Raw genomic sequence first — 18,379 nt, 5'->3', positions numbered from 1 at the left:
GGCTTCTGATCAACATGCCTAAAATCAAATTCAACATTTTATAAAACCAGTCATCATCTGTCTTGGCTTCCCTGTTATTGTTCATTTTCCTAATGCCTTAAGCAAAATCCTTAAAGACATCTTTTTCCCTTATGTCCTATCAGTGTCTAATTCCTATTAGAAAAATAGTAAGAAACTTTCTTTCAAATATCTGCCACATGCATTCTTTTCTTTCATTCTAAATGGCATCACTCTGTTTCATGTCCTTATCAAGTTGGCCTGGGTTCTGCACTAGTTGGACGCATTTACCATGCATTTATCAAAGTTATTTAAAGCACTGCCTTCGCCATGTCATTTCAATGCTCAACAGTCATCAAACACTCCAAAGTGCGTTATCAACTGTTTATCCAGGTACTGAAACTCCACCTCCTGCCCCAACCTGTTCCAACCAACTTTTTTGGTCTCAAATCCCATTACTTGGTTTCTTCATACCATCTGAACTCTAATTTCCTATTCATATATTTTACACTACATGACTGTGTTCAGTCTTTGAAGAGAGTCCTTAGACATTCTAAGAAGTGCCCAAGAAGAAAGTTCTTAGACACTCTAGACAAAAATGTATCTTCCAAGTAAATCTCAACAAATTATAGATAAATAGATGGATAGATAGATAGATAGGATCATTAACAGTATCAAGATGCAAAAAGAGGGTCTTGTTATTCCCCATTAACAAGTGGAGAGCCTGAAGCATAAGTAAATGATTTAACTAAGCTACGTGAAAATCCAGCATCTACATTGTTATAAATAAATATATTGAAAAGTACTAAGTTAGTATGAGTGGCCTTTTTCAATTGAGAAAGCAGATTCATCTTATGAAATGTTTCATCAGACATCTGTCTCAAATAAATATATTGTTATCCGCAGGAAAAGTATTGAAACCCAAATGTTGCATCAAGGATGATTAGAAACAATAAGTATTATTCCAAGTTCTTATTTCCATGTTGAGTTTAAAAAGACCGTGAAAGAAGATGAATACTCTATCCTGGAAACATGCTTATCTCTAACACCTGCTTATCTCAGTCACTATTTTGATATACACCTTGACACAAACAATACAACAGAGGTGTAATATACTGGGAACAAATAATTTGTATAGTGGCTTCATGGAAACACATTTGCATCAGAAGCAAACATAGAAAACTAAGAACAGATGGCCAGTGCAGTGGCTCACACCTGTAATTCTAGCACTTTGGGAGGCCAAGGCGGGAAGATCACTTGAGCACAGGAGTTCCAGGCCAGCCAGGGCAACATGGTGAAACCCCAACTCTACAGAAAATACAAAAGTTAGCTGGGTGTGTGCCTGTAGTCCCAGCTACTCAGGAGGCTGAGGAGGGAGAACCACCTGAGCCCAGGGGGTTGAGGCTGTGGTGAGCGTGATCATGGCACTGCACTCCAGCCTGGGCGACAGAGCAAGACTCATTTCAAAAAGTAAAGAAGGAAAGAGGGAAAGGGGGAAAGGGGGAAAAGGGGAAAGGGGGAAAAGAAGGGAAGGGAAGGGAAGGGAAGGGAAGGGAAGGGAAGGGAAGGGAAGGGAAGGGAAAAGGGAGGGAGGGAGGGAGGAGAGAGGTCCCTTTTCTCTACTTCTTTCTATTGTCATGACCTTAGAAAGTCAGAGTAGATGTATATTTATTTCTGTTCATTAATAAAATAATAAAGCCCAACCCTTATTTTATCTTCCATCTTACAGTCAAATTCTTTGCTATTCTTTTCCTTACTGAGTCCAGCAATCAATTTTCATGTAAATGGTTTGTGGGTATTGTTTGGGGCTCTAGGAAGCCTCTAAGCATCATATACATTTTTTAAAGTAATGAATGTTAAATTACTTTAGTAACTTTCACTTTTAAAATATAGCATCATTCCATATTTTCCTCCTTTTTGCCTAACACCGTCTTGTGTTTTATAGTTCTATTTTCTCTTAGAAAAAATGAATACAGAGTTAACATTAATCAAATCTATGAAGTTCAATATAGATTTATGAAATCTTATTATGAAACTTAAAATTATGTACCTATTAACTCAGCAAGGTTCTATTTTATTTTCAAGAAAATATTAATTTTGTCCTTTTTATAACAATATTTTAGACTACAAATTTCCAAAAAAATTCAAAGGAGTTATAGTCCTTTGCTTCAGCTATCAAATCAAATGTACATACATCCTAACAAAGAGAGAATTCCAGAAAGGGATATTTAATAAATTACATTCTGATTATCTTTTTTCATATCAAAAAACACAAAGTATTTGGGTATTACATAAAATCACAGATACAATGTGATAAAATTTAAACATATTTTTTAATTTCAAATTTTTGCGGTGACTTTAACTGTAAATGAAATATAAAACATGTAATGTATGCTTTCCTATTTCTATATAGTCTTCATAAAACTTTCTAATAAGTTCAATCTTACCTTATTTTAAATAATTAAAATAAATTATTTTGTTATTTAATTAAATGATTAAAAATGGGCAGATGCAGTAGTGACTACTTTTGGTCATAGATGAAGTAGTACACAACAGGCTTTAAAACGTTACTTTCCTGCCCGCCACAAACTCACCTTCTAAGAAATTCCATTATCTGTAGCAGTCAAGAGCAAGGACCATTTGGTAGGCCTGAGGTCTCATTACCAGATTAAATATCTTGATTGCCCTAATCAGCAGAATATTTAGAAGCTGACAGTACAGAAGAGGTAGGCACAAAGAACAGAAACATCCAGGAGTCAGGCAAGATGGATTAGCAGTAGATTTGCAGGGGGAGGGGGAGCTTTGGCAGCACATCCCCAGTGGCCTCTGATGATAAATACTTAGTTTATGAGGCACACCTCCTATTTGAAGCTATTATCATTTGCCCTGGGGTGCTCTTCTTTCCTGATTTCCTCATTTGGTTCCTTCTTTATCACTTTTCATGTTAGGATGTTTATAAATGTTTCTTGTGAAAGGTATTTGAAAAGTGAAGGAACTATGTGTAGAACGCTCTCTGTTCTTCAGAGGAAAGGTGCCATAAAATCTAATACATAAATACTAAATCAACTCAACAGATGTTGACTTTTTCTTGTCAGACAGAGACTTTAAACTCCTGATTCAAAAATCTCTCTAACAGAATAAATAAACTAAAAGTGAAAATCAATTTGTCAACCTTACCCAAGGACAAAAGATAAAAACTTGGATTAAACAGAATTATCTATATTCTATCAAACAAGATGAGACAAAAAACACCATTTATGTCTTCAAAGTAGATCTGATAATAAAAGTACATAAATATCCTATTCTGTGTGCAGAATAGGATATTTTTCAAGTTGCATATTCTGTACAGTAAATGAAAATTAATAAACCCACATCATATGTTTTTCATGAGATTCTGAAAATAATTTAACACATCTTTTAAAAAAGAAAACAGATACTGAATATTATCCAAAAAAATATTAAAGTCTAAGCACTAATTGAGAATCAACTTACAATTTCTTTTCTAAAAGAGCACTGTCTTCTGGCATTAAAAACAGAACATTAGCCAAGAAGGAGACATAATCCTTGTACCAAAAATTGGAGTATGCCCTCTGGAATTGTAAGTTAGCTATCCAAAATTGTTTAAAATGTATGCTCATTGCCTATGTTTCTACCTTAAGCATGGCAGTGGAAATGCTTTTTGTTTGAATTTCTCTGTTTCTGAAAATCCCACATTATTATACTATTGTAAATAGTAAATATCATATGTGGGAAACATCTTTGAATGTTTGTTATTTAACATGCTGTGCACAGACATGCCACATAGTCATCACATTGGGACCTATTAGACACACAGAATTAAGGGCCCCACATCAGATCCACTGAATCAAAATCTGAATTTTGGCAAAAATCTCCAAGTGATTTCAATGCATAGTACAGTTTTAGAAGCACTGCTTTAGCCACTTCCTGGTATGTAATCAGCCTTCTATATGTGTTAATAATCTTTCAGTAATTTCTTTTAGTTGTTTATAAATTTAACTCAAGCTACCAAATACACTTGCCAAAAGAATGACATCACTACAGTTAATAAATGGAAATAATTGCCTCTGCAGTTTAAATGTCCTGTTAGGAAAAAAAAAAATTCATATTGAATGAAAAGAAATCTTAGAAAAACTGTGAAATAGACCAAGTTGATCTTTTGTGATCCAACACTATCCTCACCAATGCCCAGAACTCCCTCACAAATATCCGTATTCCTTTAAAACACTTTCCTTTCAGTATTATTCTTCTACATTGTTTTTTTTCTTTTCTTTAAGAAGATTAATTTTGCCAAATTTTGTCAAGCCTCAAAATGTTTTATTAAATACACTTAATATTTAAAACAAAAATTCTTTATCTCCTTCTGATATTTGTTTTATTATATATCAAAATTGCACACAAAAAATTACAGGAAATATGCAGTATTTAAAAATAACTGTAGGAGCACAAGAATCATCCATTTGAAAAGAAAGAAGCCCTATGTGCTTCTCCCCAAAAAGACACTTTTTTTAAACTTTCATTTTAGGTTCAGGGGTACATGTGCTGATGTGTAAACTCATTTCACAGGGGTTTGATGTGCAGAATATTTCGTCACCCAAGTACTAAGCCTAGTATCCAATAGTTATTTTTTCTGTTCCTCTCCCTCCTCCCAAACTCTACTCTCTGGTAGGCCCCAATGTCTCCTCTTCCCCTCTTTGTGTTCATGTGTTCTTATCATTTAACTCCCACTTATAAATGAAAATATTTGGTATTTGTTTTTCTCTTCCTGTGTTAGTTTTCTAAGAATATTGGCCTCCAGCTCCATCCACATTCCTGCAAAGAACATTATATTTTTCGTTTTTATGGCTGCATAGTATTCCATGATGCACATGTACCACATTTTCTTTATCCAGTCTTCCACTAATGGGCATTTAAGTGGGTCCTATGTCTTTGCTATTGCAAGTAGTACTGTAATGAACATACACATGCATGTGTCTTTATGACCGAAAAATTTATATTCCTTTGGGTATATACTAAGTAATGGGATTGCTGGGTTGAATGGTACTTCTGTTTTTAGTTCTTTGAGGAATTGCCACACTGCTTCCCACAATGATTGAACTAATTGACCCTCCCATCAACAGTGTACAAGCATTTCCTTTTCTCTGAAACCTCACCAGCATCTGTTTTTCACATGATTGTTGGCTGCATATATGTCTTCTTTTGAAAAGTGTCTGTTCATAAACTTTGCCCACTTTTTAATGGGCTTATTTGTTTTTTTTTTTCTTATAAATTTCAGTTCCTTGTAGAGGCTGAATATTAGACCTTTGTCAGAGGCATAGTTTGCAAAAATCTTCTCCTGCTCTGCAGGTTGTCTGTTTACTCTGTTGATCATTTCCGTTGTTGTGCAGAAGCTCTTTACATTAATTAGACCTCATTTGTCAAATTTTGTTTTTGTTGTGATTACTTTGGCATCTTCAACATGAAATCTTTGCCCGTGCCTATGTCCTCTCTGGTATTGCCTAGGTTTTCTCTCAGGGTTATTATAGTTTTGGGTTTTACGTTTAAGTCTTTAATCCATCTTGAGTTGATTTTTAATATGGTCTAAGGAAGGGGTCCGGTTTTAATCTTCTGGATATGGCTAGCCAGTTATCCCAGCACCATTTATTGAATAGGGAGTCATTTCCCCATTGCTTGTTTTTGTCAGCTTTGTAAAAGATCAGATGGTTGTAGGTGTGTGGCCTTGTTTCTGGGTGATGTATTTGTTCCATGGTTTTATATGTCTGTTTATGTACCAGTACCATGCTGTTTTGGTTACTGTAGTCCTATAGTATAGTTTAAAGTCAGGTAGCATGATGTTTCCTGCTTTATTCTTTTTGCTTAAGACTGCATTGGCTATTTGGGCTCTTTTTTGTTTCCATATGAATTTTTAAATAGTTCCATATGAATTAAGTTAAATATGAGTTAGTTAAATATGAGTTAGTTAAATAGTTCCATATGAATTTTTAAATGTGAAGAATGTTATTTGTAGTTTGATAAAAATAGCACTGAATCTGTAAACTGCTTTGGTCAGTATGGCCATTTTAAGGATATTGGTTCTTCCTATCTATGAGTGTGGGATAATTTTCCCATTTGTTTGTGTCATCTCTGATTTCTTTGAGTAGTGTTTTGTAATTCTTGTTGTAAAGATGTTTCACTTTCCTGGGTAGCTGTATTCCTAGGTATTTTATATTTTTAGGCAATTTTGAATGGGATTGTATTCCTGACTTGACTTTTGCGTTGGGTGCTGTTTAGTGTATAAGGATGCTACTAATTTTTGTATACAATTTTGTATCTTGAGACTTTGCTGAAGTTGTTTATCAGCCTAAGGAGGTTTTGGGCTGAGACAATGGGATTTTCTAGATATAGGATCATGTCATTTGTAAACAGAGATAGTTTGACTTCCTCTCTTCCTATTTGGATGCCCTTTATTTCCTTTTCTTGCCTGATTGCTATGGCCAGGACTTCCAATACTGTATTTGAATAGGAGTGGTTCGAGAGGGCATTCTTGTCTTGTGCTGGTTTTCAAGAGGAATGCTTTCAGCTTTTGCCCATTCATTATGATGTTGACTGTGGGTTTGTCACAGATGGCTTTCATTATTTTGAGGTATGTTCTTTCAATACCTAGTTTGTTGAGAGTTTTTCACATGAAGGGATGTTGAATTTTATTAAAAGCCTTTTCTGCATTTATTGAGATAATCATGTGGTTTTTATCCTTAGTTCTGTTTATATGTTGAATCCTGTGTATATTAAACCAACCTTACATCCCAGAGATAAAGCCTACTTATCATGGTGTATTAGTTTTTTGAAGTGCTGCTTGATTTGGTTTGCCAGTATTTTCTTGAGGATTTTTGTCTCAATGTTCACTAAGGGTATTGGCCTGAAATTTTCTTTTTTGTTATGTCCCTGTAGGTTTTGGTATCAGGATGATGCTGGCCTCATAGAATGAGTTAGGAAAGAGTCCCTCCTCCTCAATTTTTTGAAATATTTTCAACAGGAATAGTACCAGCTCTTCTTTGTACATCTGTTAGAATTTGGCTGTGAATCCAAATGTTCCTGAGCTTTTTTGAATGGTAGACTGTTTATTACTGATTCAAGTTTGGAGTTTGTTATTGGTCTGTTCAGATATTTAATTTCTTCCTGGTTTAGTCTTGGGTTATGTGTCCAGAAAAGTATCCATTTCTTCCTCACCACATTGTTTTGTCAGCATTGTGTGTGTGGTGGACATAGCCTTGCCTTCCCAGGCAGCCTGCATGTGCCTGTGCACACTGCCATGCCACTATTGCCAGAGTGAGTTCACCCCATCTTCCCCACTCCCAAGCCCCACTGCAGGACTCTTGTTGTCAGAGCATTCACAGGCATGGATTAAGAAAATGCAGCACATATACACCATGGAATACTATGCAGCCATAAAAAAGGATGAGGATGAGTTCATGTCCTTTGTAGGGACATAGATGAAGCTGGAAACCAACATTCTGAGCAAACTGTCACGGGGACAGAAAACCAAACACCACATGTTCTCACTCATAGGTGGGAAGTGAACAATGAGAACACTTGGATACAGGGCGGGGAACATCACACACTGGGGCCTGTCATGGGGTGGGGGCATGGGGGAGGGATAGCATTAGGAGAAATACCTAATGTAAATGATGAGTTAATGGGTGCAGCAAACCAACATGACACATGTATACATATGTAACAAACCTGCAAGTTGTGCACATGGAACCTAGAACTTAAAGTATAATAATAATAAAAAAAGAAAATTTATAAAGAGGTTTCTGTGTTTGTCCAGAATAGTAAAACATTAATATCTCTTCATGATTTAAATGTTAAACTTCTAGAATGTGTGACTTGAATTGCTGTAGTATATGTAGTGGCTGTTTTTATCAGGCATTAATACCTTTGTATTCATTATGCCATAAACATACTTTCCCATTGTTTGTAAGAAACTTTTGATGGAGATAGGGTAGTGAGACCTTCCTGATGGGCACAGGTTAATGTTATAATCAGTATGTTTTAGATGTGGTATAAATATTTGGTTGGAAATTTGTTGTTTAGTACTTCACATGGGCTGGGTGCAGTGCTTCCTGTCTGTAATCCCAGCACTTTGGGAGTCAAGGCAGGAGGATTGCTTGAGTCCAGGAGTTCAAGGTTGCAATGAACGATGATCATACCACTTCACTCCAGACTGGGTGACAGAGCATGACCCTGTCTCAAAAAAAAAGAACTTTACATGTGTACTTTAAAAGACACACTGACTTTATTGCATTTGCCTTCCTGAAAGAGAAAACCCTGGGCCATCTAGGGAACAGGCATACTCCCATTAAAATACTGTAGTACCAATTGGTTTAGAATGTGATTTTGCAGGTGGGTGAGGAACCTCAGTCCCCTAATGTCCTGTATAGCACTTACACTCTTTCTGCATGATAAGCATCACAAGGAGAACAGCACACAAAATATGAAACCAGTTGCAAACATTCTTAGATCTAGTCCAGTGACACAAAACATTTGCACAGGAAGTCAGGGAAAACAGATTTATGAATCAAAGACAGGCAGCAATGATAAACAGAGGCACATGCAGGGTGCTCTCAGGGTCCGTGGCCCACAGTGCAACATGGTGCATGTGCAAATAAGACTTCACCCACCCTCACAGTAGTGAGTTAAATTATTTAATATTTTAGACAATTTAATCTAAATTATTACACTGCCTCTTTCCTAGTTATCTTTGTTTCTTTCAGCAAGGATCAGAATTAACAACTGTAGGACAGGTCTTACAGTATATTTAAGAGCCTGATGGCATGATCTCAAGAAAATGTAGGCAATTGTTCCTAGTTCTAGTTCAGAGATGTCAGTTCAGGAAAATGCCTGCAGCAGAATGTGTTATTATTTTAAACTAGAACATACTGTTCTAATTATTGCTTAAAATCCATGTTATGTCATCCTTTGCCTTATATTAAATAATACATTTTTGCATTTTTTTAGTTTGCTTTTTTCTTCCATTTCAATTCTGTCTTTGCTGCAAATTATAATAGGGAAGCTAAGGACTAATTAAATATTAAAATACCTAAATATGATAACAATAAGAAATTATTGCAAAAACAAGTGCAGAGTCTACAGAAACAATATAATCAAAACTGAAAAGAATCTTTTTTTTTTTTTTTTGACAAATGGTCTTGCTTTATTGCCCAGGCTGGAGTGCAGTGGTGTGATCATAGCTCACTGTAACCTCAAAGTCCTGGGTTCAAGCAATCCTACTGCCTCAGACCCCTGAGCAGCTAAGACTATAGGCATGTGCTAGCATGCCCAGCTGTTTTATTATTATTCTTCTTTTTGTAAAGATCAGGCCTTGTTTGTCTTGAACTCCTAGTCTTAAGTGATCCTCCCACCTCAGCCTCCCAAAGTGTTGAGAATGCAAGCATGAGCCACCACACCCAGACTGAAAAAAATCATTTTTGCTATAATCTCTAGAATCTGATATTTAAGAGCAGGAGAATAGGTTTTTATTTGTTGGAAACTAATATAAGAAATAAGTCTGAATGTGACAAGGTATTTTTGTGCCATCAGATTTTAACATAACCCAAGATGGAAAAAGAATGTCTTCTTACTTATTTAAATGGATGTCCCTGTTTTTTAGCTGACATTTCAAAACAACACAAACCTTATATTTTTTTTCATTTCATTAGTGCATGAGACTGTGCCTATATGGCAGAATTTAATTAGAAAATTAAATTAGAAAATTTAGGACATAAGAGATCATTGATACACTAATATATGATCACCCATTTCATCACTTGGCAACTTCACTTTCTAATACCATCAACTCTATTTTTATCTAAGCAAAGGAAACAAAGTTAAAATGATTATTCCCAATACTTACAAAGAAAAGGCAATTTACTTTTGGTCTCTACAAACCTGATTCATAAATATGGTCCTTTATGTACAAATCCTCAGGTGAAAGGATCTATTATTTATTTATTGTTGATTTATTTAGTCTGTAACTTACTGTTAGGCAATATACTAAATGCCACTGAAATAAAGACTAAGATAAAATTATTGCCCTCAAAAATCCTAAACCAAGTGGAAGAGATAGACAAGTGAATTAAGACGCACAAAACTGCATGTCACATTTGATCACTGGTATGGAAACGTTCTTATTAAAAGGTGAAAGAAGTTGGGGGAGAAAAAAATGGTAGGGGAAGAATCTATAGAGGATGTGACACTTAAGCTGATCCTTGAAGGATGAATAGGAGCTCCCCTGTAGAGCAACAAGAAAAAGGGGATTTCCAGACTGATGAGGCTTTGTGATCACAAGCAGCTTAGCAAAGCTAGAATACAGTGTAAGTACAAGGGCATAGCAAAAGAGGACTCTGACAGTTGGCCCGATCGTGAAGGGCTTTGAATATTAAGCCAGAGAGGCTCATAGAAAATGGGCATTTTGGTTGGATTTAATCAAGCAAGGGATATATTTGGGGTTTGGATAGAACCCTTTGTAGTTCTGTGGAAGATGAATTTGAAAGGAACAATATTGGAGGCAGGGACATGAGTTATGATTTACTGCAACCACACAAAGGAGAAACTGTCAGCCAGTGTCTAAACTAAAGAAGATAGACAGGACAAAGAGCATGGAATAGATCTGAATATGTCCAAGGAGGTAAAATAGGCAGAACCTAGAGACAGTTTGGATTTGAGCCATAAATGTGAGATAGGATAAGTTTTTAGCTTATGTCATTGCAGTGAATTTACTGAAGAATTATAGAAGAAGACCAAGATGGGTTGTTTTTGTTGTTGTTCTTACTTGTGTTTGTTATTTTTGTTTGTTTTGAGAGTGAGGAAAGAGGAAAATGGTAAGTTTAGTGATATCCAATAAGCATTCTGTAATATGTGTTTTCAGTGATGATTTTCAAAATATTTAACCATCAGTTCAACAGGCGAATCACTGAGGCCAACTGGGGAGAAGGTGTTTGTGCAGAGCCCTAGAGCCACCTGCAGTGTCAGGTATCAAGTCATTAGTTACTCGTTTGTAGGAAGATTTGGGCCAAGACACTGTGGTGAGAGGGTGTGGTCACAGGGCTTAGGCAAGGACTGTTAACTAACTGGTATAGAAGTATTTCAAAATTTTAGCAACTATAATAGCCATAGGGTACATACAAGCTAAATATCATCCCTAAGCAAAGGGAGGAAAAAAATAGAAAAATTTTTAAAAGCTGTAATTCTTTCCTCGTTTGAAGAGGGGCAGAATATGACTTCGGTGGAGAATGTTCATTTGAATGGGACCATGTTAATGGGTATTTTATCTATGCAAAAGTAGGTCTCAGGCTCAGGGCCATCCCCTGAAAGGTAGAGGTTTAGGCAAGAGTGAGATAAAATGCTTTGAAGAATAAAGCAAAAGACTTTTTCATATATTGAAGAAAAGATATGTTGCCCCTAACAGATATTTTGATACTAGGAGATTTTCCACTTTCTCTAAGGGGCAATAAAAAAAGAACATAAAAAGGATGAGTGGACCCCAGCACATTACGACTGACCATGTCTGGGTAGAAGGACAGTTGGCAGGGCACTCCCAGCAAAAGGCAGGATAAATGTCATGCATGAACTGAAAGGCCTCAGACAAAAGAGAAGCCATGATTTGGTGGCCAATCAAAGCAAAGCAAAAGTTCCATATAATAAATAATGAGCAGCAATTTAAGCTCCCTCTGAGGACATTGTAACTTGAGGAGGTACTAAGCTTCCTGAAGTCAGACAGGATGAAGGTGCAGCCTGTGGTTAAATGGATATTAAATGAGAAGTAAGAAAAAAACTGGAAAAACTCAGGAAACCTTGGGTATCATACAGATATATAGTATTTAAGATAATTGTGGGATTTATAGGATTGAGTCTTGGGCTGAGAAGTCATCTTATAATTGTATATGGTTAAATGATTGAGAGTTTGTAAAATTAGGAGAACTGAGGATGTAACTGCCGGACGCTACCATCTATGGAACAGATGGAGAAACATTCACATTCAAGAAACACCAAGGAGTGAGTCTGAAATGCAGACGATTCGGTGACTGAATTTTTGAAGAAACTAAGAAAAAAAGATTTTGAAAGTGTGCATGGTCAGGGAAGTTAAGTAAGATAGGACTGGAAAGAATCAACAGTATTTGGTAATAAGGAAGCCATTAGCAAGCAATGAGAAAGGGCTCCTAGTGTTGTACCAGTGGCCTTAACCTATTTGTAGTGAGTTGAGGAAGGAAAGCACAGTACAGATACCGAAATAGTAAATTTAGACCGCACTCTTGCTAAACGGATGTAAGAAGAAATGAATGACATAAAGCAAGAGCTAAAAACATTACTGGGTTAAGAGAGGTATTTCTTTTAAGATGGGATAAAGCTAAACCTATTTATATGATGGAGAAAGCAATGAGGGAGCAAAGGAAAATAAAGAAAGAGAGCAGAGGAGAAATAAATAGTGATAGATGAGCTCAGAAGGCTAGAGACTGATGACAATCCACAGTTAAGAGATAACATTGAGTAGGAAAAAGTAACTCCCCTCCATTAGTGCAATCCTTGTCTCTTTATCTCAAGTTTCATAGCTAGAAAACACAGAGGTATCAGTAAGTGAGACACTACAAGAGTATACCTCTCTTTCAGTAAGTCATTGTGTAATAAAAACTGAAGTTCTTCTGCAGAATTTTAAAAATAGCTTCCAATATCTAAGGCAATACTTCATATGGAAGAGCTATTCCTCTAGGGTACTATTTGAATAGTGATCACGTTTTAAGAATTAATGTGTAAGTCATTCACCCACAATACTGCCATCAGTAGGATGATTATAGGTCATTTTATTTATGGAGAGAAAACTCTAAGTTTCCCAACAAAAAATAGTTATTTGTTTTTCAAAGGAAAATTTTCCATCTAATTGATCCCTGTAAGAATGGAGCTTGTGGGCCTGGCATGGTGGCTCACGCCTGTAATCCAAACACTTTGGGAAGCCGAGGTGGGTAGATCACCTGAGGTCAGGAGTTCGAGACCAGCCTGGCCAACATGGTGAAACCCCATCTCTACTAAAAATACAAAAATTAGCCAGGTGTAGTGGCAAGCTCCTGTAATCCTAGCAATTCAGGAGGCTGAGGCAAGAGAATCACTTGAACTTGGGAGGCAGAGGTTGCAGTGAGCTGAGATCGTGCCACTACACTATGGCCCGGGCAACAGAGCAAGACTTTGTAAAAAAAAAAAAAAATTCAAGAATGGAGTTTGTATTTTTTTTTTAAATTTTAGCAATTATGTGGTTCTCAAAACAAGTGAGGTAAATGGCTGACTTAAGTAGATGTGGGTTTATAAATCGCTAAATCATATCATCAAAAAGAAGCATATCCTAGTAGTTAAAAGAGTGAATTTGAAAACGAGACTGCCTAAGTCATAGGATTGAATCCCTAATTCAATCTAACCCTAATTACCTAATCTAAGTCTCAGTGCCTTCATCTGAAATAAGAGAATAAAAATAGTACTCATTTTACAAAATAGTTAACAGGTTTAATTATACACACATACACACACACACACATGCCCCTAAGTGTATATATGCGTGTAACACGTGGAATAGTGCCTGGCATATAGCAAGTATTTATGAGTATTTGTAATTTTTATTATAAAATTGCATTTGGGGTAGTTAAGAAATTTATTTCTCACAGGACACTGAGTTTCTTCACTGGAGATGTTCAAGAATCAGCTAGAAAATGAAATTATCAAATGATGTTTTCTAGAATTCGCGAAAACTCTTAAGATTTTGAGATTTTTATCATTTTCATGTTAAAGATAGAAAAAATGCAGTGACGATCTTTATTTGACCCAAGACAAGCAGTAAGTAAATAAATCCAAAGCCTCCAGACCACCTACCTAATCATGATCAGCATAAGTTGGAAAATCAACTTAGATTTATTGTGTATGTGCTTAGTGTGTTACAGAAAATACTACTGAAAGGAATTTGAACAGGTATCTGTTGTTAAAGTCAGTCACTGACAGTTTGTTATGCATCTGGTTGACCTCTTCTGAGGTAAACAAGCCACTGGAAATATGGAAAACCAGTTCTGAATCACCATGGAGCCCTATGAGGCACATGGATGGATACAGAGTAGAGACGTGTAGACCAAATAGGTGACATTTTGATAATACATTCTTTTGAAAGTGACATCAAGAAAAGGAGACCTTTACCAGCTCTGTCTTGGAATGTCAGTGTGGCACTTCGGGGACTCACTGAACTCCTTATCCTGTTGAACTTTTAACCTTCATTGATCTAAAATTCTTGTTCTAAAACCAAACCAAGAAAAAAAAAAAAAGGTTGCCTTTCTCTCATACATTCCTCAAGGAGAAACAGATATACAGTCATAAATTATTAATTCTCTGCCTTTGAAAAATAAAAAAGCGGCATCTCGTACAATGTCTGCAACCGTATTATTGTTTAATTTTTTCTTCATATACTACCTTGGAATTATCATACTACAGTGAGATTAGAAAGTCATACTCAGAAACCTAATGGATATTCAGGGAAGTGGAAAAGCGCTGGCCCACCTTGGGAAAGAATTCACTTTTTAAATGCATATCGAAGTTACAGTTTAATTACAATTTTTAAATGAAGGGTAATCCGAATGTTACCTCTAATTATAATGGCCAATTGAATTGGAACATGGTTTCGTAAATAATCCCATTGGTTTCAAGCAAATACTAACGAACCACAATTTCCATCTTAAATTGGAGCATTTAATATCTTTCTTTTTCAAATTTTCAAAAATAAATTTCACTGTGTATATTGAAGGTATACAACATGATATTATAAGATATATATATGTTAAGATATATATATCTATGTTAAGTCATATACATATATATGACCTAATGCTGCTGATAGGTTCTCAGAAACTGCAACTTTAATTGAAATTACATATAATTAAACCAATTTTACCAAAGGTTAATTGATGTAACAAGAGTTAAGTTCCTATATATTTCTGGTCACAAAAACCAACAAACTTCTAAAAACACTTCTAATATTTAACATTGAAATAACTGTGAGTTATATATACATTTAAGAAAGACTAGTAGAAACAAGTAAGATACTTATTTATCCAGTTATTCTAGCTCAAGATTTCGAGTGGTTGGAGCCACTCCCAGCAGTGCAGTACACAAAGCGGAAACCCACTTTGAACAGGAAGCCTCATCGCAGGATGCACTCATATACACACTCACACTCATTAAGACTGTGACAATTTAGACATGCCAATGAAGCTGAGGTGCATGTCTTTGAGATGTGGGAGGAAACAGGAGAACCTGGAGAAAACTCATGCAAAATATTGGGAGAACATGCAAACTCCAAACAGACAGGATCCAGGGTCCAGAATCATCTTTTTTCTCACGAACATTATAATAAAATGACTCGAATGGATAGGATGTTATTTGAGGACCTGCTGCATATAGTAAAGTGGTTACCAAAGTATAACAAATTAACATATCCATCCTCTCACGTAGTTACCAGTTTTTCCTCCTGTGGCAAGAGTAATCTACTGTAGGACTGTAGTACTGTAGCACAGTATCAGCTGTAATCTACTCATCTAGCAAAACTTCAGAATACAATATTCCATTATCAACTATAGTCCTCATTTGGTACATTAGATCTTTCAACTTGTTTGTCCTACATATTTGCTACTTTGTATCTCTTTTAACCTCCATCTCCCCATTTCCTTCCCCGACCTTAACCCTGAAAACTACTGTTTTATTTTCTGTCTCTATGTATTTGACTTTTTAAAGATTCCATATATAAGAAGGATCATGCATTTTTTTTTTGGTATCTGGTTTATTTTACTGAGAATAATGTCCTCCAGGTCCATCCATGTTGTGGCAAATGGGAAAATTTCCTTCCTTTTTAAGGCTAAGTAATACTCGTGTGTGTGTGTGTGTGTGTGTGTGTGTGTATCACAGTTTCTTTACACATTTGTTCATTGATAGACATCTAGCTTGTTTCCATACCTTAGCTACTGTGAATAGTGGTGCAATGAATAGAGTTCAGCTCTTTTAATGAGATGGTGATTTCATCTCAGAAGAGGGATAGCTGGGTCATATGATGGTTCTATTTTCATTTATTAAGGAACCTCCACACTGTTTTCCACAATGGCTGCACCAACCCACATTCCCACAAAGAGTACACAAGCATTCCCTTTTCTCCACACACTTGTTACCTCTAGTTTTTTTGATAATAGACATTCTGACAGGTGTGAGAAAAATCTGGTAGTGGTTTTGATTTGCATTCCCCTGATGACGAGTATTGATGTCAAAACAAATCTCCAACTTCACAGGACACATGAGATTATTAATAAGCATATGAAGTCATATGTGTACAAATAGATGTCTGTTTCTGGAACACAGTTCAAAGGATAACAGTTTTTAATTAAACATTTTTCAAATCCATTTTATTATCTTTATTCTCACTAAAATGGATGAATCATGCCTTCTCTATCAAGAGGCAAATAGAAAGGAGATTTGTAAATCAAATATTACATAAGGGTTTAGTATGCAGAATATACAAATTCTGTAACTATTAAAACACAGCAACCAAAAGACAAATTACTCAATTGAAAACGACAAAATACTTGACCATTTTTCCAAAGAAGATATAGAAATATCCAATAAAGCATGAAAAGATTAGAATACTGTTCTCAAGGCCTATCTATGCTGTAGCATGGACCAATACTTTGTTCCTTTTTCTGACTGAATAATATTCCATTGTATGCATATGCCACAAAAAAATAGACAAATGATACAATTAAATTAAAAAGCTTCCACACAACAAAAGAAATAATCAACAGAGTGAACAACTTGCAGAATGGGAGAAAATATTTGCAAGTTATGTGTCCAACAAAAGACTAATATTCGAATCGACAAGGAACTCAAACATCTGAACAACAACAAAAACCCAAATAAGTACATTAAATAGTGAGCAAAGGACATGAAAAAGATATTTTTAAAGCCATGCAAGTAGACAGTAAGCATATGAAGAAATGCTCAACATCACTAGTCATCAGAGAAATGCAAATTAAAATCACTATGAGGCTGGACACAGTGGTTCATGCCTGTAATCCCAGGACTTTGGAAGGCAGATCACTTGAGTCCAAGAGTTCAAGACCAGCCTGGCCAACATGGCAAAACCCCATTTCTAATAAAAATACAAAAATTAGCTAGGAATGGTGGTGCACACTTGTAGTCCCAGTTACTCAGGAAGCTGAGACATGAAAATCGTCTGAACCCTGGAGGCAGAGGTTGCAGTGAGCCAAAATCACACCACTACACTCTAGCACCTCTAGCCTGGGCAATAGAGTGAGACTGTCTCAAAAAAAAAAAAAAAAAAGCCACTATGATATACCCTCCAATACCAGTCACAATGGCTGTTATTAGAAAGTCAAAAAAATATCAATTGTTGCTGAGGATGTGGAGAAAAGGAAACACACACTGTGGGAATGTAAATTAGTATGACCACTATGGAAAACAGTATGGAGATTTCTCAAAGAACTAAAAATTGAGCCACCATGCTACCATTTGATCCAGCAATCCCATTACTGGTATCTACCCAAGGGGAAAGAAATCATTATACCAAAAAAGATACTTGTACTCATGCTTACTCCAGCACTATTCACAATAATAAAAATATGGAATTAACCCAAATTCCTATCAATAGATGATTGAATAAAGAAAATGTGGTATATATGTGTGTATATATATACATATACACATATATATACATATATACATATATACGTATATATATACATATATATACATATACACACACAGCATAGAACTGTATTCAGCCATAAAAAAGAATGAAATCATATATTTTCCAACAACATGAATGGAACTGGGGGCCATTATCTTAAGAAAAATAACTTAGAAATCAAATACTGCATATTCTTATTTATAAGTGAGAGCTAAACAATGTGTACACATGGACATAAAGAGGGGAATGATAGACATCAGAGACTTGCAAGGGTGGGAGGATGGAAAGGGGGTGAGGAATGAGAACTTATTTAATCGGTATAATGTACATTATTTGAGTGATGGCTATAATAAAAGACCAGATTTCACTGCTATGCAATATATTGATCTAACAAAACTTCACCTGTACTGCCCAAATCTATAATTTTAACAAATGTCTATTCTGGACATTTCATATAAATGGAATAGTACACTATGTGAACCTTTGTGTCTGCTTCCTTTTCCTTAATATAATGATCTCAAGGTTTATCCAAACTGAGCATGTATCAATACTTTATTCCTTATATAGCTGAATAATATTACATTGTATGAATACCACCTCTTTATTCACTCA

General features: G+C 35.7%; 1 annotated feature.

Moving 5' to 3' along the window:
* Positions 10,020-10,580: an enhancer, noted in NCBI's record as "NANOG hESC enhancer chr5:98714807-98715367 (GRCh37/hg19 assembly coordinates)". NCBI's record gives its function as "activates a minimal SCP1, AML or CMV promoter by ChIP-STARR-seq in primed H9 embryonic stem cells {active_cell/tissue: H9 hESC(primed)}" and the evidence as "EXISTENCE:reporter gene assay evidence [ECO:0000049][PMID:30033119]".

This window comes from Homo sapiens, chromosome 5 (assembly GCF_000001405.40).
Source record: "Homo sapiens chromosome 5, GRCh38.p14 Primary Assembly".
Lineage (NCBI taxonomy): Eukaryota > Metazoa > Chordata > Mammalia > Primates > Hominidae > Homo > Homo sapiens.
The sequence above is the reverse complement of the archived record's forward strand: the minus strand, read 5'-3'. Positions and strand labels throughout refer to the sequence as shown.